This window comes from Homo sapiens, chromosome 5 (genome assembly GCF_000001405.40).
Source record: "Homo sapiens chromosome 5, GRCh38.p14 Primary Assembly".
NCBI classification, from domain to species: Eukaryota; Metazoa; Chordata; class Mammalia; order Primates; family Hominidae; genus Homo; species Homo sapiens.
This window is the reverse complement of record NC_000005.10, coordinates 32,875,416-32,899,688: the sequence shown is the minus strand read 5'-3', so window position 1 is coordinate 32,899,688 and position 24,273 is coordinate 32,875,416. Positions and strand designations below refer to the sequence as shown.

Here is a 24,273-nt window from a genome sequence, read left to right as displayed (position 1 = left end):
CAAATGAACATTTGAAATTGGCCAAAACAGTAAACAAAGCATAAAATTTTATTTAATATAAGTTAAAAGGTCAAACTATACACAAGGCTTATTTTTGTGATTCCTCCCTTAATTTTATTCCATGTATTAGAATATTTAGTGAAGTAATTCTGACAGACACCTGTGAGGAAATGCCAAGCCATTTTAATGGCAGTTGAAGACATGATTGGGGAATGTTAGGTTTCTTGCTATTGAGCCTTTTCTTTCTGTCTTTCTTTTAATTAAAGTTTTCATGTGGCAACATAGGTTTCAGAATCAGGTATTAGATTTTTCAGCAACATACAGGGTTGTCAAAATTTTCCTCAAAATTTTTTGTGTTGGGGTGGCTAGCAAGATGGCCAAATAGGAGCAGCTCTGGTCTGCACCTCCCAGTGAGATCAACACAGAAGGTGAGTGATTTCCGCATTTCCAACTGAGGTACCCGGCTCATCTCACAGGGACTGATTAGATAGTGGGTGCAGCCCATGGAGGGCGAACCAAATCAGGATCCAGCATTGCCTTACCTGGAAAGTGCAAGGGGTCAGGAAACTCTCTCCTCTAGCCAAGGGAAGCCGGGAGGGACTGTGCCATGAGGAACGGTGCATTCCAGCCCAGATACTATACTTTTCCCACAGTCTTCGCAACCCGCAGACCAGGAGATTCTCTCAGGTGCCTACACAAACAGGGCCCTGGGTTTCAAGCACCAAACTGGGCAGCCATTTGGGCAGACCCCGAGCCTGCTGCAGGAGTATTTCATCATACCCCAGTGGCACCATGGATGCCAGTGAGACAAAACCGCTCACTCCCCTGGAAAGAGGACTGAAGCCAGGGAGCCAAGTGGTCTAGCTCAAAGGATCTCAGCCCCACAGAGCCCAGAAAGCTAAGATTCACTGGCTTGAAATTCTCACTGCCAGCACAGCAGTCTGAAGTCAACCTGGGATGATTGAGCTGGTGGTGGGAGGGGCACCACTGTTACTGAGGCTGGAGTAGGTGGTTTTCCCCTCACAGTGTAAACAAAGCTGCAAGGAAGTTCGAACTGGGCAGAGCCCACCATAGCTCAGCAAAGCCGCTGTAGCCTGACTGCCTCTCTATATTCCTCCTCTCTGGGCACAGCATCTCTGAAAGAAAGGCAACAGCCCCAGTCAGGGGCTTATAGATAAAACTCCCATCTCCCTGCGACAGAGCACCTGGGGAAAGGGGCGGATGTGGGCGCAGCTTCAGCAGACTTAAATTTTCCTGCCTGCTGGCTCTGAAGAGAGCAGCGAATCTCCCAGGACAGTGTTCAAGTTCTGCTAAGGGACAGACTGCCTCCTCAAGTGGATACCTGACTGGGAAACACCTCCCAGGAGGCAGGAAGAGACACCTCATACTGGAGAGCTCCAGCTGGCATCTGGCAGGTGCCCCTCTGGGACAAAGCTTCCAGAGGAAGGAACAGGCAGCAAACTTTGCTGTTTGGCAGCCTCCACTGGTGATACCCAGGTAAACAGGGCCTGTAGTGGACCTCCAACAAACCCCAGCAGAAATGCAGCAGGAGGGGCCTGACTGTTAGAAGGAAAACTAACAAACATAAAGGAATAGCATCAACATCAATAAAAAGGACATCCACACAAAAACCTCATCTGAAGGTCACCAGCATCAAAGATCAAAGGTAGATAAATCCACAAAAATGAGGAAAAACCAGTGCAAAAACGCTGAAAATTCCAAAAACTGGAATGCCTCTTCACCTCCAAAGCATCAAAACTCCTCACCAGCAAGGGAGCAAAACTGGATGGAGGATGAGTTTGACAAATTGACAGAAGTAGGCCTCAGAAGGTCAATAATAACGAATTACTCTGAGCTAAAGGAGGATGTTCTAACCCAATGCAAGGAAGCTAAGAACCTTGAAAAAAGGTTACAGGAATTGCTAACTAGAATAACCAGTTTAGAGAAGAACATAAATGACCTGATGGAGCTGAAAAACACAGCACAAGAACTTCATGAAGCATACACAAGTATCAATAGCCAAATCAATCAAGCAGAAGAAAGGATATCAGAGATTGAAGATCAACTTAATGAAATAAAGCATGAAGACAAGATTAGAGAAAAAAGAATGGAGAGGAATGAACAAAGCCTCCAAGTAATATGGGACTATGTGAAAAGACCAAACCTCCATTTGATTGGTGTACCTGAAAGTGATGGGGAGAATGGAACCAAGCTGAAAAACACTCTTCAGGATATCATCCAGGAGAACTTCCCCAACCTAGCAAGACAGGCCAACATTCAAATTCAGGAAATACAGAAAACACCACAAAGATACTCCTTGAGAAGAGTAACCCCGAGACACATAATCACCAGATTCACCAAGATTGAAATAAAGGGAAAAATGTTAAGGGCAGTCAGAGAGAAAGGTCTGGTTACTCACAAAGGGAAGCCCATCAGACTAACTGCAGATCTCTCTGCAGAAAACCTACAAGCCAGAAAAGGGTGGGGACCAATAATCAACATTATTAAAGAAAAGAATTTTCAACCCAGAATTTCATATCCAGCCAAACTAAGCTTCATAAGTAAAGGAGAAATAAAATCCTTTAAAGACAAGCAAATGCTGAGAGACTTTGTCACCACCAGGCCTGCCTTACAAGAGCTCCTGAAGGAAGCACTAAACATAAATAGGACCAACTGGTACCAGCCACTGTAAAAACATGCCAAATCATAAAGACAATTGATGCTATGAAGTAACTGCATCAATTAATGGGTGAAATAACCAGCTAGCAACATAATTACAGGATCAAATTCACACATAACAATATTAACCTTAAATGTAAATGGGCTAAATGCCCCAGTTGAAAGACACAGACTGGCGAATTGGATAAAGAGTCAAGACCCATCAGTGTGCTGTATTCAGGAGACCCATCTCACATGCAAAGACACACATATCCTCAAAATAAAGGGATGGAGGAAGACCTACCAAGCAAATGGAAAGTTAAAAAAAATCAAGGGTTGCAATCATGGTCTCTGATAAAACAGACTTTAAACCAACAAAGATCAAAAGAGACAAAGAAGGCCATTACATAATGGTAAAGGGATCAATTCAACAGGAAGAGCTAACTATCCTAAATATATATGCACCCAATACAGGAGCACCCAGACTCATAAAGAAAGTTCTAAGAGACCTACAAAGAGACTTAGACTCCCACACAATAATAGTAGGAGACTTTAACCCCTCACTGTCAATATTAGACAGATCACCCAGAGAGGAAATTAACAAGGATATTCAGGACTTGAACTCAGCTCTGGACCAAGTGGACCTAATAGACACCTACAGAACTCTCCACCCCAAATCAACAGAATACACATTCCTCTGAGCACCACATCACACTTATTCTAAAATTGACCACATAATTGGAAGTAAAACACTCTTCAGCAAATGCAAAAAAATGGAAATCATAACAGTCTTTCAGACCACAGTGCAATCAAATTAGAACTCAGGATTAAGAAACTCACTCAAAACCACACAACTACATGGAAACAGAACAACCTGGTCCTGAATGACTACTGGGTAAATAATGAAATTAAGGCAGAAACAAATAAGTTCTTTGAAACCAATGAGAACAAAGTTACAATGTACCAGAATCTCTGGGATACAGCCAAAGCAGTCTGTAGAGGGAAATTTATAGCACTAAATGCCCACAAGAGAAAGCACCCTTTGTAAAACTGACACCCTAACATCACAATTAAAAGAACTAGAGAAGCAAGAGCAAACAAATTCAAAAGCTAGCAGAAGATGAGAAATAACTAAGATCACAGCAGAACTGAAGGAGATAGAGACACGAAAATCCCTTCAAAAAATCAATGAATCCAGGAGCTGGTTTCTTGAAAAGATCAACAAAATTGATAGACCACTAGCAAGACTAATAAAGAAGAAAAGAGAGAAGAATCAAATAGACACAATAAAAAATGATATAGGGGATATCACCACTGATCCAACAGAAATACAAACTACCATCAAAGAATACTATAAATACCTCTATGTAAAATAAACTAGGAAATCTACAAGAAATGGATACATTCCTGGACACATACAACCTCCCAAGACTAAACCAGGAAGAAGTTCAATCTCTGAATAGACTAATAACAGGTTCTGAAATTGAGGCAATAATTAATATCCTACCAACAAAGAAAAGTCCAGGACCAGATAGATTCACAGCCAAATTCTACCAGAGGAATAAAGAGGAGCTGGTACCATTCCTTCTGAAACTATTCCAATCAATAGAAAAAGAGGGAATCCTCCCTAACTCATTTTTATGAGGCCAGCATCACCCTGATACAAAAGCCTGGCAGAGACACACACACAAAAAAGAGAATTTTAGGCCAATATCCCTGATGAACATCAATGTGAAAATCCTCAGTAAAATACTGGCAATCCAAATCCAGTAGCACATCAAAAAGCTTATCCACCACAATCAAGCTGGCTTCAACCCTGGGATGCAAGGCTGGTTCAACATATGCAAATCAATAAACATCATCCATCATATAAACAGAACCAAAGACAAAAACCACATGATTATCTCAATAGATGCAGAAAAGGCCTTTGATAAATTTCAACAGCCTTTCATGCTAAAAACTTTCAATAAACTAGGTATCAATTGAATGTATCTCAACATAATAAGAGCTATTTATGACAAAACCACAGCCAATATCATACTGAATGGGCAAAAACTGGAAGCACTCCCTTTGAAAACTGGCACAAGACAAGGATGCCCTCTCTCACCACTCCTATTCAACACAGTATTGGAAGTTCTCGCCAGGACAATCAGGCAAGAGAAAGAAATAAAGGGAACTCAGATAGGAAGAGAGGAAGTCAAATTGTCCCTGTTTGCAGATGACATGATTGTATATTTAGAAAACCCCATCGTCTCAGCCCAAAATCTCCTTAAGCTGAAAAGCAACTTCAGCAAAGTCTCAGGATACAAATCAATGTGCAAAAATCACAAGCATTCCTATACACCAATAATAGACAACCAGAGAGCCAAATCATGGGTGAACTCCCATTCACAATTGCTACAAAGAGAATAAAATACCTAGGAATCCAACTTACAAGGGATGTGAATGACCTCTTCAAGGACAACTACAAACCACTGCTCAAGGAAATAAGAGAGGACAGAAACAAATGGAAAAACATTCCATGTTCATAGATAGGAAGTATCAATACTGTGAAAATGGCCATACTGCCCAAAGTAATTTATAGATTCAATACTATCCCCATCAAGCTACCATTGACTTTCTTCACAGAATTAGAAAAATCTACTTTAAATTTCATATGAAACCAAAGAAGAGCTCGTATAGCCAAGACAATCCTAAGCAACAATATGAAAGCTGGAGACATCACAGTACCAGACTTCAAACTATACTACAAGGCTACAGTAATCAAAACAGCATGGTGCTGATACCAAAACAGATATATAGACCAACGGAACAGAACAGAGGCCTCAGAAATAATGCCACAAATCTATAACCATCTGATCTTTGACAAACCTGACAAAAACAAGCAATGGGGAAAGAATTCCCTATTTAATAAATGGTGTTGGGAAAACTGGCTAGCCATATGCAGAAAACTGAAACTGGACCCCTTCCTTACACCTTATACAAAAATTAACTCAACACGGATTACAGACTTAAACATAAGATCCAAAACTGTAAAAACTCTAAAAGAAAACCTAGGCAATACCATTCAGGACATAGGCATGGGCAAAGCCTTCATGACTAAAACACCAAAAGCAATGGCAACAAAAGCCAAAATTGATAAATGCTATATAATTAAACTAAAGATCTTCTGCACAGAAAAGAAACTATCATCAGAGTCAGCAGGCAACCTACAGAATGGAAGAAAAATTTTGCAATCTATCCATCTGACAAAGGGCTAATATCCAGAATCTACAAGGAGCTTAAACAAATTTACAAGAAAAAAGCAAACACTCCCATCAAAAAGTGGGCAAAGGATATGAACAGATATTTCTCAAAAGAAAACATTTATGCAGCCAACAAGCATATGAAAAAAGGTCATCATCATCACTTGTCATTAGAGAAACGCAAATCAAAACCACAATGAGATGCCACCTCATGGCAGTTAAAATGGCAATCATTAAAAAGTTAGGAAACAACAGATACTGGAGAGGATGTGGAGAAATGGAACACTTTTACACTATTGGTTACACTTTTATACTGTTACGCCTTTACACTGTAGTTCATCCATTGTGAAAGACAGTGTGGAGATTCCTCAAGGATGTAGAACCAGAAATACCATTTGACCCAGCAATTCCATTACTTGGTATATACCCAAAGGATTATAAATTATTCTGCTACAAAGACACATGCACACCTATGTTTACTGCGGCACTGCTCACAATAGCAAAGACTTGGAACCAACCCAAATGCCCATCAATGATAGATTGGATAAAGAAAATGTGGCACATATACACCGTAAAACACTATGCAGCCATAAAAAAAGGATGAGTTCATGTCCTTTGCAGGGACATGGATTAGCCTGAAACCATTATTCTCAGCAAACTAACACAGGAACAGAAAACCAAACACCACATGTTGTCACTCATAAGTGGGAGCTGAACAATGAGAACACAGGGAGACAGGGAGGGGAACATCACACACAGGGGCCTGACAGGGGTCGGGGGGTGCTAGTGGAGGGATAGCATTAGGAAAAATACCTAATGTAGATGACGGGTTGATGGGTACAGCAAACCATCATGTCACGTGTATATCTATGTAACAAACCTACACGTTCAGCACATGTATCCCAGAACTTAAAGTATATTTAAAAAATTGATCATCATCATAATCATTGTCATTGTTATCATTTCTTTCAACAGACCATTTGAACTTACTTGGTCTTCTCTGGACCATCTAACTCCTTTTTTTTCCACTTCCATGAGGTTTGCATCCCAGCATCTGGAGCGATGTTTCTCAACCCTTTTCACTCCATTTCAATGAGCTTAAAACTTCGTGTAGTGTACTCCATATTTTGACACGCTACCTTCAGCATCATTGAAAATCTTCTTAGATATTGGGGTATTTCATTCTAATGTCATTTGGCTTTACTTTCTGTAGCTGGTAGTATGAAATTATTTATATTTTTATTCCTCCAGACCTCTATGCTCCTGTTATCTCATTCATATTCCCCCCCCACAGCACAGCATCCTTCTTTCTATCCTCAAAGAGTTGACTGGGGGTAACAGACAAGCAACTCAGTAACTTCAACATAGCTTTAAGAATTTTTCTAGTGCATGAATAAAAGAGAGTGCAACAGATTTAAGTTGGGATGGAGGGCAGATGCTCTTCTATACAATTCTTCTGCCTTCTAACACTCCCCAACCCCTTGTTAAAGTGTCTTTCACTGGTCAGCCTTCCCATTCACTTGAAAATTGTCTTGTGCTAGTCATCACCGCCCTCTTCCCAGAAGAAGACCAATTATCATCTTTTCATTGAAATCCTCACTAGCTCAAAAATAATATTTCAATGAACTATCTTAACAATAAAGAAGAGATCACACTAATTCATATTAAAAAGAATAAATAATTGCTGGCTCAAAGTACTAGCTTATTCTAATTTCAGGTCTTCATATTGAAATTCCACCCCCCACCCCACTTAGTTTGGTAATAAAAGTGTGAAGCAAGAGTATCAAGAATTTCCAGTGTCCTCCCAGAAGATCTACATTAAAATCTTGAACTACTTATCCCTAAGGGCTACATTCCTAAAGGTGGAATTTCCGTGTGACTGGCCCATGTGTATGTGTTTGGAGTGGAGGAAAGTGGGGAGGTTTGCCTGGATGTGAACAATTGCCCCTTACATAGCTCTTTGGAAAGTATGAATTTTTTGCGTATTAAGTGGTCTTAGAGTAGGCCCTATCTACGAAGAGAAAATTTCAAACCTGATACATGTATTGTTGTGGCAAATAAATGGTCTTTTGCAAATGTATAAGTATCCTTTTTACAGTAGGTAGCTTATGTAAGGGAGAGACATAATTTAAAACGAAAGGTAGGTGTATGGAATGATTATGAAATTTCAAGGTAGATCCTTAGGCTGTTGGAATCTTTGAGAAGTGAAGCTTAACCCAAAATGATTTGAGAAAATGAATCAGAGGTTAAAGAACACTACACAAATACATCTGCTGTCTAAAGCTAAATTGCTTTTGGGCATTCCTCCATCTGAAAAGAGGCAGGAGACAAGATTAATGTTTGTTTGACATTCTAGCCATTAGGTATAAAGTTTAGTCTTCAGTGAGGAAAGGGAATCACTTGTAGTTTCAAAAAATGGGGGACAGAAAGCCTTCAGCTAAGGAAGGTAACATTTAGAGCAGATATTAGGAAAAAGAATGTTCTCATGAACAAGAGCCACAAAGTATTAGAGCAGGTTCCCAAGAGAAGTCAAGGGAGCTTCTGTGCAAATAAACCACAATGGTTTCATTAAGATGTTATATATAAGGAATATGAAAGTGGAAACAAGGGTTTTTCTAATTCTATGGCCTAACAGGTCAGGAGACTAGACCACTCAATAACAAGCCATGTTCAAGGCCATAGGGAAAAATAGTAATTCCCGGGAAAATGGCACTCTGTTGATGAAAACTACAGAGATTAAAGAATCTCCTCCTTCAAACTTACATCTAAAAAGTCGTTCATAAATACACCAAGATATGCAGAACATATCAAAAAGGAAAGAGTCAAGGGTGAGCATGGGGAAGCCCAGAGCTTCAGATAATTTCAAACAAATGAACATATACATTTTTAATACCCTGAAGCCTGGAAACAGAACAATACTTTATGAACTTGCAGATCACTTCATAGGAAGGCCAAAGGCCAGGTATTTATGTACATATATAATAGATCAGTTTTTCAAAATCTTCAAGGAAGACATCTGAAGTTCCAGTTTATAATCCAAAAGGAACATACTGTGTTCCTGTCACCTGATCCATAATTTCATGTTCCATTAAAGGCAGCAAAACTTGTTTTAAACTATACTTAGGAAAACCCAAATAAAATTATAAATCTGGGATCCCTTCCCCAGACTAAAAAATGTAGTTTAGTATTTTTAGCTTTAAAATTTGATCCCAAGAACCTTCTACGTTTTGGCCAAATAATCAGTTCTAAAGTAAAAAATTCATTCAATCAGCCACTTGTGTTGACATACTTCTAACATTTAATTTGACATACTTTTTACTGAAATAACCTATTATTATTGCATTGTGATGATACAGCTTTACGGTTATTAGTTATTTTGCAAGGCCACAAAAAGTAGGGATATATGATGGACAATATGACTGAAATATCTGTCTCCCCACCAATGGGCAGAGTTGATGTGGTTCATTTGGCTGGCTAAGCCATTAAATTTCTATCTCCCACCTCTATGTTTCCCATTCTCATTCCAAGACAATGAACATCACTGAGAGTAAAAAAATTTTTGAAAATTTGAAGAAATCTCTGTGTTCCAGTTAGTATAGCTATGTAACAAATTATCCCCAAATTTTGTAGCTTAAAACAATAGTAATCACTTTTTATTTCTCATAGCTTCTGTAAATCAGGAATTCAGAAGCTGATCAGTTGAGCCATCCAGGCTCAGGGTCTCTCTTGAGGTTGCAGTTAACCGAAGGCTTTAGTAGGGCTGGAAGATCTGCTTCCAAGGTCACCCACTCACTTTTTTGGCCAGTTGGTGCGGGTCTTCGGCACTTCCTCTCCATGTGGAACACTCCACAGAGTTGCTTGAGTATCCTCAGAGCATGGGAGATGACTTTCTCCAGGGTAAGTGATCCAAGAGAGCAAGGCTGAAGCTGCAATGCCTTATATGACCAAGCTTTGGGAGTCACACATCTTTACTTCTACTGTATTCCACAGGTCACACTACGCCAGTCCTGATTCAGTGTAAGGGATGACAGACCTACAAGAATTACAGAAGGCTAAGATTATTAGAGCTCATCTCAGTAGCTGGCTACCACAATCAAGTAGAAGCAATATGCTGATAAGACACTTGTGAATATGTAAGTCATTCATTGAATCCAAAGTTTTCCTTAGCCACCTGAGATAATTGAATTTGTTATTATTGTTTCATACCCAAGCTTGGTAACTCCTTTTTTCTTCTTGGTCTTAGGGGCACCATGTCTTCTCTTTCTTGGTTTCAGGTATGACTTATCAGGTTCATGTTGAAAATGCCTATTTTTACAGACCCTAGAACACCATCTGGTGGTTCTAGCCTCCATAGGATTCTGCTCAACCATTTGTAAATTTGTTCAGTTAACAAACATTTATTAAATGCCTACTGTGTACTAGGGATACAATGTTGAACAAAATAAACAAGCTCCCTAGTCTCATGGAACATATTCTAGTGAAGGAAAACAAACAATAAAAAAGAGACAAACAAATATGAAGATAACAGACAATGGTAAATACTAGAATGAAAATAAAATAGCTGGATAGATAAGGAAAGGCTAGCAAAGGTGTTTCATTTAGGCTACGTGATGAAAAAGGCTTCTCTGAGGAAGCAGAGTCCTAGATAACAAAGATGCAAATATTTGAGGGGAGAACATTTCAGGCAGAAGAAAGTCAACACAAGGTCCCCGAGGGAAGAACAAGCTTGATGTGTGTGAGGAAAAAAAATAAGGTTCAAAGGCTGGAGCAGAGTGGGCAAGGGTAAGAGAAGAATGAGATGAGTGGGTAGTGGTCATGTCTTGTGCAGATATATAGACCAGGGTAACTGGTTTAGGTCTAATCTCAAGGGTAACTGCAAGACATTGAAAGGTCCTTTATCTTAAAATAAATGCTCATTTTCTTGTCTTCACTTCTTTCTTATTTTCTTCTTTCCTACAGTACAGCTTCTCTAAAATGGGTTCCTTTCTCCTTCCAGACACACAGAAGAATTACATTTCTCTACTCCCATGCAGGCAGATGGGGACATCTGAGTACTAATGGCCAACTGATTATGAGTAGAAGTAACACCAAAGCCTTTGTCTGTGAAAGATCTGCAATTCTCTCTTCTATTGCAGCAATGGAGGTCACATACTTCAAATGGTACACAGCTAGTAAGGTGGTAAAGCCTTCATCAGACTGGGTCCTTGAGTGACTATGTAACGGATGCAAGAAACAAAACTTTTATGTGTGTCTTAAACTGCTGAGATTTTGGAGTTGTTAGTTAACAGAATGTAGCCTAGACTATTCTGATTTTCAAAGTGTTCTTCCATGAAAAATAAGTTCTAAACTGAATTGTTGGCAGTCAACCCAAATCTTTCTTTTATAGCCACTGCTGGTTGATCCCATAATATAAATTAATTCATAATTGTTTCTGACCTTCAGTTTCTTGGACAATTCAATTTATTCTCCAGTTCTGTTCCCACCTTTAGTCACTAGAAGATGCAGTGTTGTCACCACTTATTAGTAAATCACAAAACGAACATTTATAAAGTCCATGTTTTCTTATTCAGAGGAGGGAATGGGGTTCATTACTTAAGTCTGGGGAAAAGAAGAGATATCTTGTATGGGTTAATCCGACCATGAGCTCCGATTAACCCATACATGAGCCTTCCCTGCCACATTGAGATGATCCTTACTGAAAAGGAACAGATTGTTCCTAAACCAGAAGAGGAGGTTGCCCAGAAGAAAAAGATATCCCAGAAGAAACCGAAGAAACAAAAACTTATGGCACGGGAGTAAATTCAGCATTAAAATAAATGTAATTAAAAGGAAAAAAAAAGAAGAGATATCTTGTTCACAAACTGCTGCCATCCAGATGTTGGGAAAAATTTCAGAAGGGGAAGTAAGACATAGAGAAGCCAACTCTGTTCTATACTTGAGATGATACATAGCACCCAACAGGGAAAATAGAATTGCTTATCGTTTATATTTTCCCTGTCAGAGCCATTCATAATGACACACATTTAATTTTTGCTAAGTTCCTCAAGGTTCATTTCATTCATTATATTTGTTTAAAAAGCACTATCAGTAAAGAAAATCTTCTTCATCTGTGTTACATGGCAGCTTGATGCTTCTGCCAGCAGTATATTTTTTATGGGAATTCCAAGCAATGCAAACAAGATTTAATTTCTTTCAAACGTCCTTCTTGGCTCATACCAATTCATCCAGGCACGGCATTCTTTAAGCCATTTCCAATTTCTCTGATCAAACAGGCTGGACTACTACCTGGGGGTTTTGGCTCCATCCAAGAAACCTGCTTTACCAAACCATCTGTTGAAGCTCCTGGATTCCTTCTATTTAGTAAGACTCACATGTCATATGGTATACATTTTCACCTTCTGAACTGTGTCCTAGACATCTTACTGGAACAACTTACCTCAATCACACATGATCTTTCCAAAGATATTTTCTTATCCTAAAAGCTCAAATAATATTTCATATTATAGCAGAACTGTTCAAAAATTCACCCATGAAGAAGACATTAAAATAAGAGCTCCCCTTTCAGTTTGGGTTTTATGTTCTAAGACTGGGTAGTATTGAAAAGATGGTGGGTAACAAAGAAATATACAAGTTATTAAATGTTTCAGGTAAAGCCAACCTAGAATTATCTGAGAATCATTCACAAGTAGCAAGTTTATGAAGGGCTTTTGATGTACACAAGCCAAGTGCCTACAGGAAAATATCTCAAAATCCTAGAGAGTCTCCTCTTCCTTCACAGAACAAACTTCATTAATCTTCTCCATTTATGAGGGCAGTAATAATGGAGCCAAGACAGAGGCCTGGTCTCTATTCTAGGCCAGTTAACTTTCCTAAGTTACATGGCCAAAAATAGGAACACTGACCCCTCATTAATCATGTAAAAAGCAGTATTTGTTCAGCACATACTTTATGTACAGCATAGGCATTTTGCACACTTATTTTTGGTCCCAAAGTTGAACTTAAGGGAATAAATAGGTGAAATAATAAATAACCATAATTTGGTAAATCTTTCAAAATCACCCTTACCTTCTTGAGGGCCTCCCTTGTACCAGGCATTTTCATAGAAGATGTCCCATTTAATCCTTAGAACTCTGTAAAGCAGTTTTTTTTCCCCATTTAGTGGATGAGAAAAACTGAAGCTCAGAATCACAAAATGGTCTACTTAGCTGACATCATATAGATGGTAAGTTCAGAGTTAGAACCTAAACCCAGATCCTGAGCTTCTTCCCTTCCTATCTGGTGCTTTTCCAAGCCTGCGAGGGAAGAGAAGACCACAGTTAATACTTGAAACATATCTTATTTGAATACCAAAAGCAGTAAATTCCAGGTAAAGGTTGTTTCCCGTCATTCATCTTTGTGAGTTCTTAGCTAAGTAAATATTATTTAACCCAGTAAAGTTTTGATTGTCAAATCATATCAATAGTAACAAATATAATATTTCTAACTAATATGTTGGTTATATTTTTGAAATATATAAATGTATTATGAAACTGCAAATTATTAAAATATAGACTTCTCAAATGTGATCAATTAGGGTAGTTGATTGGTTAATAGAGAATCAGATACTCATAATTATTAAAATATATAATAGACTTCTCAAATGTGATCAACTAGGGTAGTTGATTGGCTAATTGAGAATCAGATACTCATTAGATTTAGAGAAGATACTCATTAAACATTATATTTACTTAAACTTTTATTTTAACTAAAATATATTAACAAATGTTCATTCACACATCTTTTCTTGTGCATCCAAAACCTTCTTTAAAGTACAAGTTTTTGTACACTGGCAATGAACAATCCAAAAAAGAAATTAAGAAAGCAGGCCGGGCGTGGTGGCTCACACCTGTAATCCCAGAACTTTGGGAGGCCGAGGTGGGCAGATCATGAGGTCAGGAGATCAAGACCATCCTGGCTAACATGGTGAAACACCATCTCTACTAAAAATACAAAAAAAAAAAAAAATTAGCTGGGCATGGTGGCAGGCACCTGTAGTCCTAGCTACTAGGGAGGCTGAGGCAGGAGAATGGCATGAACCCAAGAGGTGGAGCTTGCAGTGAGCCAAGATCATGCCACTGCACTCCAGCCTGGGCGACAGAGCAAGACTCCATCTCAAAAAAAAAAAAAAAGAAAAGAAAACAATTCCATTTATAGTAGCAGCAAAAAGAATAAAATAGTTAGGAATATATTTAACAAAGATGATGCAAGACTTGTACAATGAAACTACAAAACATTGCCAAAAGAAATTAAAGAATATTTAAATAAATGGAAAAATACCCCAATATTCATGGACGGGAAGACTTCATATTGTTAGAATGGCAATACTTCTCAAAGCAACATACAGATTCAACACAATCTATATAAAAATCCCAATAGCCATTTTTTGCAGAAATGGAAAAGCTGTTCCTAAAATTCATATGAAATTATAATGGAACCCAAATCACCAAAATTAGCTTGAAGACAAAGTTTGAAGTGTTCACACTTCCAAGTTTAAAAACTTACTATAAAGCTACAGTAAATAAAATGGTATGATACCAGCATAAAGATGGACATATAGATCAATGGAATAAAATCTTGAATCCAGAAATAAATCCAAACATCTATGATCAAATTTATTTTCAACAAGGATGCCAAGACCATTCAATAAGGAAAGAATAGTCTCTTCCATAAATGGTGCTGGGGCAACTGGAAATCCACATGACATAACAGTGAAGTCAGACCGTTACCTCAAATAGGACACAAGAATCGTCATAGTACGAATGTTTCTGTCCTCCTCAAAATTCAAATATTGAAGTTATAACACCAATGTAATGGTATTTGGAGATGAGGTTTGGGGGAGACAATTAGAGTTAGATGAACTCATGAGGATAAGGCCTTTGATAGGATTAGTGCCTTTACTGGAGGGGATACAAAAGAGCTCTCTCTTCACTATGAGGACACAGTGAGAAGACAGTTGTCTGAAGGCCAAGAAGAGAGTCCCAGCTAGAAACTGACCATGCTAGCCCCTTGATTTTAGATGTCCCAGATTTCACAAATGTGAGAAATAAAGTTCTGGTGCTTGTCACCCAGTCTATGGTATTTTCTCATGCAGCCTGAACAGACTAACATAAACATTAACTCAAAATGGATCAATGATCTAAATGTAAGAGCTAAAACTATAAATTTCTTAGAAGAAAGGATAGGAATAAATCTTTATGACCTTGGATTTGATTTCCTAGGACAACAAAAGTATAAGCAAAGAAAAAAAAGTAAATTAGACTCTATCAAAATTAAAAATTTTTGTGCATCAAAGGATAGCATACTCCAAGCCAGAATAACAGCCCTATGAGCCAGACCCCAAGTTCATTGACCCACCATGTGCACACATGCACCCCAACCTGAGAAGCAACCTGGGAAGCACACACCCAGCAAAGCCACATCACTGCCACCACAAACTCTCTCAGCCTAAGCCACTGAGACACTCACAAATGTCACTAATGTGGATTACAGATAAAGAAACTTCACTAACACTACACTACTGTGTCCACCTAGAACCAAGGTCAATGCACCCTTCACCAAACTGACATCCCAAGACCCATTCACATGAATAAGTCTTTTCCTATGAAACTTACTCCATAAAATGTGAAGAAACAACTTTTCCACCAGATGTGTAGAAATTAACGTAGGGACACATCAAGCATAGAAAAGTAAAGAAATATGACACCTCCAAAGGAAAACAATGATTCTCCAATAATAGTCCCCAATCATAAGGAAATATATGAAATGCCAGAAAAAAGCATTCAAAATAATGATCTTAAAGAAATTGAGTGAAATAAAATAGAATACAGATAGACAATTCAATGAAATCACAAAACAATTTATGTTTGAATGAGAAGTTCAGAAAAGAGATAGATATCATAAAAAAGAACCAAACAGAAATCCTAGAGCAGAAAAATTCTGTGAGTGAAATAAAAAATATAACTGAGAGCTTCAACAACAGACTAAACCAAGCAGAAGAAATAATTTCTAAACTTGAATAAAGGTGTTTTGGAATAACACTGGCAGACAAAAAATAAAAAATAATAATTTTAAAAGCCTACAGGATTTACGGGACATCAATAAGCAAACAAATATTCATATTATGGGCATTCCTGATGGCAAGGCAAAGGGAAAAGGTGAGGAAAACATATTTAATGAAATAATAGCTAAAAGCTTCCCAGGTGTTGGGACAGATGGGCATCCAGATTCAAGAAGCTCAAAGAAGCCAAAATATATTCAATCCAAAAGGTCCTCACCATAGAACATTATAGTCAAGTTGTCAAACGTCAAAAACAGGAAAGAATTTTAAAAACAGCAAGAAAAAGATGCCAAGTCACATATAAGAAAATCTACATTTGACTAATAATGGACTTCTCAGAAGAAAATGAAGGCTGTAACTCTAATTTCATTTTAACATTCATAACTCACTAGTGCTTACAGATAAAGACCCCAGAGATACAGTGGTACTTTCTCAATTAAAAAAAAAAGAATTAAGCCTCTGCTAAAGTCTGCGGCAGAATAGAGCATGGTATAATACACTAGAGTGACATGATATAATCAAAGTAATAAAACAAAACTGCTAACCAAGAATATAACACCCAGCAAAGCTATTCTTCAGAAACAAAAGATTCCACAGACAAGCAAAAACTACGTGAATTCATTACCACTAGATCAGCCTTACAATAAATGCTCAAGGAAGTCTTATGTCTGGAAGTGAAAAGACAGTAACTACCATCATGAAAACATGCAAAACTATAAAACTCACTGTTTAAACAGATACACAAAAGAGAAAGAGAATGGAATCAAACCTTATAAATACAGAAAACTGCCCAACTACAAAGATAAACAAGAAGAGGGGAAATAAGGAACAAGGGATACACAAAACAACCAGAAAATAATCAATAAAATGATAGGAGTAAGTCCTTACGTATCAACAATAACCTTGAATGTAAACAGATTAAATTTCCCATTTAAAAGATATACAGATGGTCTGGCATGGTGGCCCATGCCTGTAATCCTAGCATTCTCAGAGGCCAAAGTGGAAGGATTGCTTGAGCCCAAGAGTTCCAGACCAGCCTGGGCAATATAGTAAGACCTTGTCTCTATTTTAAAAATAAAAGAATAAATTGTTTAAAAAGGAAAAAAAAGATATAGACTGCCTGAATGAATTTAAAAAACAAGACCCAACTCTACACTGCCTTTAAGAAACTCGCCTCATCTGTAAAGACACACATAGACAGAAAGTGAAGGATTGGAAGAAGATATTCCATGGAAACCAAAAATAAATGGGAGTAACTGTATTTATATCAGACAGATTTTAAGACAAAGGCTGTAAAAATAGACAAAGAAGGAAATTATATAATAATAAAGGGATTGATTCAGCAAGAGACTATAGCAATTTTAAGTATATATGCATCCAACACTAGAACACCCAGAGATATAAGGCAAGTATTATTGGATCTAAAGGAAGAGATAGTCCCCAGTACAAGACAGTTGGGAACTTCAACACTCCACTCTCAGCACTGGACAGATCATTTAGACAGAAAATCAACCAAAAAATTTGGATTTAAATTGTATCATATAACAAATGGGCCTAAGAGACATTTACAGAACATTTCACACAACAGCTGAAGAATACACTTTTTCCATCAGCATATAAAACATTCTGCAGGACTGACCATATACTAGGACACAAAACAAGTCTTAAAATTTTTTAATTGAAATTATATTAAATATTTTATCTGACCTCAATGGAATAAAACTAGACATTAATAACAAGAGGAACATTGGAAACTACACAAATAGGTGGAAATTAAACAACATGCTCCTGAATGACCAATGGGTAAAAGAAGAAATTAAGAATAAAATTTTAAAATTCCTCGAAACAAATGGAAATAGAAACAGAACATACCATACTGACACCTATGGGATACAGCAAAAGCGGTACTAACAGGAAAGTTTATAGCAATAAGTGCCTACATCAAAAAACTAGAAATATTTTAAATAAACAACCTAATGATATATCCAAGAAACTAGAAAAGCAATAACAAGCAAAATCCAAAATTACTAGAATAAAAGAAACAATAAAGATTCGAGCAGAAATAAAATTGAGACTACAAAAATACAAAAGATCAACAAAACAACAAGGTTGGCTTTTTGAAAAGAAACAAAATTGACAAGTCATTAGCTAGACTTAAAAAAAGAGAAAGAAGATATAAATAAATAAAATCAGAAGTGAAAAATGAGACACCACAGTGAATACCACAGAAATACAAAGGATCATTAGAGACTACTACGAGTAACTATGTGCCAATAAATTCCAAAACCTGGAGGAAACGGATAAATTCCTGGGCACATACAACCTGCCGAGATTGAGCCAAGAAGAAATAGGAAACCTGAACAGACCAGTAACAAGATTGAATCAGTAATAAAAGCCCTCCCAACAAATAAAAGTCCAGGAACACATGGCTTCACCATCAAATTCTACTGAAAACTTTAGAGAAGAATTTTCCTCAAACTATTCCAAAAAACAAAACAAAAAAAACTGAAGCAGAGAGCATTCTTTCTAACTTATTCTATGAGGCCAGGATAACCCTGATATCAAGACCAAACAAGGACACAACAAAAAAATGAAACTATAGTCCGGTATTCCTAATGAATATACATGCAAAAATTTTCAACTAAATACTAGTAAAAGGAATCCAACAACACATTAAAAAGATGATACATCATAATCAAGTAGGATTTATCTCAAGAATGCAAGGATGATTCAACATATGCAAATCAATTCACATCATGCATCACATCAATAGAATGAAGGGCGAGATCATATAATAGTCTCAATAGACGCAGAAAAAAGGCATTTGTTAAAATCCAACATCCCTTCAGAATAAAAACTCTCAATACATTAGGTATAGAAGGAAAATACCTCAACATAATAAAGGCCATCTATGACAAATCCACAACTAACCTTACACTGAATGGGGAAAGCCTGAAAGCTTTTCCTCTAACAACTAGAACAACACAAGGATGCCCACCCTCACCACTCTTATTCAACATAGTATGGGAAGTCTGAGCCAGAGCAATTAGGCAAGAGAAACAAATAAAGAGCTTCCAAACTGGAAAAGAAGAAGTTAAATTGTCCCTGTTTGCAGATAACATGATCTTATATACAGAAAAACCTAATGACTCTACCAAAAAAAAAAAAACCTCTAGAATCAATAACTGAATTCAATAAAGTTGCAGGATACAAAAATTGATATACAAAAATCAGTAGTGTTTCTACACATGAACGAACAACAAAGTAGCTGTAAAAGTTATCAAGAAGGCAATCACATTTACAATAGCTACAAAATAATAAAATACCTAGGAATAAATTTAAGCAAAGAGGTAAAAGACCTCTCTATAAGGAAAACTACAAAACACTGATGAAAGAGATTGAAGAGGATAGAAACAAATAGAAAAACATCTCATGCCCCTGGAACAGAAGAATCAATATTGTTAAAGTGACCATGCTACCCAAAGCAAGTGATAGATTCATTGCAATCACTATCAAGACACCAATAATAATCAGGTGCAGTAGCTAACACCTATAATCCTGGCTACTCAGGAGGCTGAGGCAGGAGGATCACTTGAAGCCAAGAATTCAAGACCAGCCTGAGCAACATAGCAATACTTCATCTCTAAAAAAAAATTTTTTTAATTAGGTAGGTGTGGTGGTGTGCTAGCTTCTCGAGAGACTGAAGCAGGAGGATTGCTTGAGCTCAGGAGTCAAGGCTGCAGTGAGCTATGATTGTGCCACTGCAGTCCAGCCTAAGCAGCAGAGCCAGACTCCGTCTCTTTTTTTTTAAGAAATTCTTTTTATTATTATTATTATTATTATTATTATTATTATTATACTTTAAGTTCTAGGGTACATGTGCACAACGTGCAGGTTTGTTACATAGGTATACATGTGCCATATTGGTTTGCTGCACCCATCAACTCGTCATTTATATTAGGTATTTCTCCTAATGCTATCCTTCCCCCAGTCCGCCACCCCTCAACAGGCCCCAGTGTGTGATGTTCCCCTCCTTATGTCCATGTGTTCTCATTGTTCAACTCCCACTTATGAGTGAGAACATGTGGTGTTTGGTTTTCTGTCCTTGTGATATTTTGCTGAGAATGATGGTTTCCAGCTTCATCCACATCCCTGCAAAGGACATGAACTCATCCTTTTTTATGGCTGCATAATATTCCATGGTGTATATGTGCCACATTTTGTTTATCCAGTCTATCATTGATGGACATTTGGGTTGATTCCAAGTCTTTGCTATCGTGAATAGTGCTGCAATAAACATACATGTGCATGTGTCCTTTTAGTAGCATGATTTATAATCCTTTGGGTATATACCTAGCATTGGGATTGCTGGGTCAGATGGTATTTCTAGTTTTAGATCCTTGAGGAATCGCCACACTGTCTTCCACAATGGTTGAACTAATTTACACTCCCACCAACAGTGTAAAAGCCTTCCTATTTCTCCTTATCCTCTCCAGCATCTGTTTTTTCCTGACTTTTTAATGATTGCCATTCTAACTGGCGTGAGATGGTATCTCATTGTGGTTTTGATTTACATTTCTCTAGTGACCAGTGATGATGAGCATTTTTTCTTATGTCTGTTGGCTGCATAAATGTCTTCTTTTGAGAAGTGTCTGTTCATATCCTTTGCCCACTTTTTGATGGGATTGTTTGTTTTTTTCTTGTAAATTTATTTAAGTTATTTGTAGATTATGGATATTAGCCCTTTGTCAGATGGGTAGATTGCAAAGATTTTCTCCCATTCTGTAGGCTGCCTGTTCACTCTGATGATAGTTTCTTTTGCTGTGCAGAAGCTCTTTAGTTTTAATTAGATCCCATTTGTCAATTTTGGCTTTTGTTGCCGTTGCTTTTGGTGTTTTAGTCATGAAGTCTTTGCCCAAGCCTAAGTCCTGAATGGTATTGCCTAGGTTTTCTTCTAGGGTTTTTATGGTTTTAGTTCTTACACTTAAGTCTTTAATCCATCTTGAGTTAATTTTTGTATAAGGTGTAAGGAAGAGATCCAGTTTCACCTTTCTGCATATTGCTAGCCAGTTTTCCCAGCACCATTTATTAAACAGGGAATCCTTTCCCCAATGCTTTTGTCAGGTTTGTTAAAGATCAGATGGTTGTAGATGTGTCATGTTATTTCTGAGGCCTCTGTTCTGTTCCATTGGTCTATATATCTGTTTTGGTACCAGTACCATGCTGTTTTGGTTACTGTAGCCTTGTAGCATAGTTTGAAGTCAGGTAGCGTGATGCCTCCAGCTTTGTTCTTTTTGCTTAGGATTGGAGCCAGACCCTGTCTCTTAAAGAATATCTGTCTATCAATGGATGTCTATTTGATATGTCTATGTCTGTATCTCATCTATCAATTAATACATGAGACATATATCTATGTCTGAGATACAGACATAGACATAGAGATAGATGATAGATAGATAGATAGATAGATAGATAGATAGATAGATGTCAATGACATTCTTCACAGAAATTTTTTTAAATCCTGAAATTTGTATGGAACCACAAAAGACCCCTAATAGCCAAAGCAATCCTAAGGAAAACGAATAAAGCTGGAGACACCATCACACTACCAAACTTCAAAATACACTACAAAATTATAGTAACCAAAACATCATGGTACAGGCATAAAAAACAGACACGTAGACCAGTGGAACAGAATAGAGATCCCAGAAATTGATCCAGGTATCTACAGCCAAGTGATTTTTGACAAAGGTGCCAAGAACACTAATTGGGAGAAGGCAGCTTCTTCAATAAATGATGTTGGGAAAAATGGATATCTATATGCAGAAGAATGAAACTAGACCCTCACCTCTCACCCTATTCAAAAATCAACTCAACATAGATCAAAAATCTAAATGTAAGACCCAAAACTATGGAACTGCTATAAGAAAACATAGGGGAGATTCTTCAGGACATTTGTCTGGGGAAAGATTTTATAAATAAGACTTCAAAAGCACAGGTAATAAAAGCAAAAATAAACAAATGGAATCATATCAAACTAAAAACATTCTGCACAGCAAAGGAAACAACCAACAGAGTGAAAGACAACCTATGGAATGGAATTAAATATTTTCAAATTATTTATCCAACAGGAAATTGATATCCAAAATACACAAGGCACTCAACCATTCAGCAACAACCACAAAAAAACAAAATAACCCCATTTAAAAATGGGCAAATGATCTCAACATACATTTCTCAAAAGAAGACATACCTATGGCCAACAAATATATGAAAAAATGCTCAACATCACTAATCATCAGGAAAATGTAAATTAAAACAACAGTGAGATATCATCTCACCACACTTAGGATGACTATTATCCAAAAGACAAAAAATGGCAAATGCCTAGTGAGGATCCAGAGAAAAGCAAGCTCTTATACACTGTTGGTAGAAGTGTAAACTAGTACAAGCACTATGGAGAACAGTATGGAGGTTCCTGAACAAAACTAAAAATACAATTATCATATGATCCACTAATCCCATTGCTGGGCATTTATCCAAAGAAAAGAAAAATCAGTATATTGAAGAGACTACTGCACCCTTATGTTTATTGCAGCACTATTCACAATAGCCAAGATATAGAATCAACCTAGGTGTGCAGGAACAGATGAATGGTTAAAGAAAATGTGGTATATACACACAATGGAATACTATACAGCCATGAAAAAGACATGGATGCAACTGGATGTAACTGGAGGACATTATGTTCAGTAAAATAAGCCAGAAACAGAAAGCTAAACACCACGTTCTCACTCATAAGTGGAAGCTAAAAGAAAGTTCTCACAGAAGTAAAATGCAAAACAGAGAGTTCTAGAGCAGCAGTTCTCAACCTTTTTGGCACCAGGGACCAGTTTCATGGAAGACAATTTTTCCGCGGATGGGGATGGGAGTAAGGGTTGCGGGATGGTTTCGGGATGAAACTGTTCCACCTCAGATCATCAGACATTCGATTATCATAAGGAGAGCGCAACCTAGATCCCTCGCATGTGCAGTTCACAGAGAGGTTTGTGGCTCCTATGAGAATTTAATGCCTCTGCTATTCTGACGGGAGGCAGAGCTCAGGCGGTAATGAGGTCTGTGGCTCCTATGAGAATCTAATGCCTCTGCTGCTCTGGCAGGAGGTGGAGCTCAGGCAGTAATGCTCACTGGCCTGCCGCTCACCTCCTGCTGTGCAGTCCAGTTCCTAGCAGACCATGGACCCATACCAGTCTGCAGCCCGGGAGCTGGGGACACCTGTTCTAGAGGATGGGAAGGGTACAGGGAAGGGAAGAGATTTGTTAAAGCTTACAAAATTACAGCTAGATAGGAGAAACAAGTTCTGGTGTTCTATAACACTGTAAGATGACTATAGTAAACAATAATATATTATCAAGTTTCAAATAGCTAGAAGGAGGATACTGAATATTCCCAACACAAAGAAATGATAAATGTTTGGGCCAGGTGCAGTGGCTCATGCCTGTAATCCCAGCACTTTGGGAGATGGAGGCAGGTAGATCACCTGAGGTCAGGAGTTCAAGACCAGCCTGGCCAACATGGCAAAACCCCATCTCTACTAAAAATACAAAAAATTAGCCGGATGTGGTGGTGGGCGCCTGTAATCCCAGCTACTTGGGAGGCTGAGGCAGGAAAATTGCTTGAACCAGGAGGCAGAGTGCACTCCAGCCTGGGAAACACAAGGTTCTGTCTCAAAAAAAGAGATGATAAATGTTTGAGATGATGGATATGCCAATTACGTGCTCTGATCACTACATATTATATATTGAAACATCACTACATACACCATAAATATATACAATCGTTGTGCATCAATTTAGAAAACAAAATAAATATTTAAAAAGAAAAAGACAATCCGCAGGATGCAAAAACATTGCAAAGCATCTACTTGATAAAGGTGTAGTATCCAGAATACAAGCATAAAATATAAATTCTCTAACTAGAGTTCTACAGTTTTCTTGCACATACCATCCTCCCAATACATCATCTGTAATTTCTAGTTTCAACTTCTTTAAAGTGGAAATACAAGTGCAGATTTCTTCTATATTTTTATAGTCTTTCCAATCTTTTCCAAGTTGTCTTCCCTATACTGACTTAATAGCATTTGTCTTACAAGTTCATTTTCATTTAATTTTTTTAAAGTATTGCATAGTGTAATTCTCTTTTCACCCTCCTATTTCATCAATTTATAGAATATTTATCTTGTGTAAGTTCAATAACATTTACAATCAACCTAAG

General features: G+C 37.6%; 2 long non-coding RNA genes across 2 annotated transcripts in view; one reads left to right on the top strand and one right to left on the bottom strand.

Annotated features, from left to right (window-relative positions):
* Nucleotides 1-11,742, top strand: part of LOC124900955 (uncharacterized) — a 37,880-nt gene extending 26,138 nt beyond the window's left edge. Inside the window, exons 2-4 of the long non-coding RNA XR_007058723.1 lie at nucleotides 9,894-10,036; nucleotides 10,147-10,177; nucleotides 10,900-11,742. This is a non-coding gene — a long non-coding RNA (uncharacterized LOC124900955). The remainder of the gene's footprint in view (nucleotides 1-9,893; nucleotides 10,037-10,146; nucleotides 10,178-10,899) is intronic.
* LOC124900956 (uncharacterized) lies at nucleotides 9,182-18,696 on the bottom strand. Its single transcript, XR_007058724.1, has 2 exons — nucleotides 12,969-18,696; nucleotides 9,182-9,936 (listed from the first exon to the last, which is right to left on the bottom strand). It is a non-coding gene; the product is annotated as an uncharacterized LOC124900956 (long non-coding RNA).
* Between the last annotated feature and the right edge of the window lie 5,577 nt (nucleotides 18,697-24,273).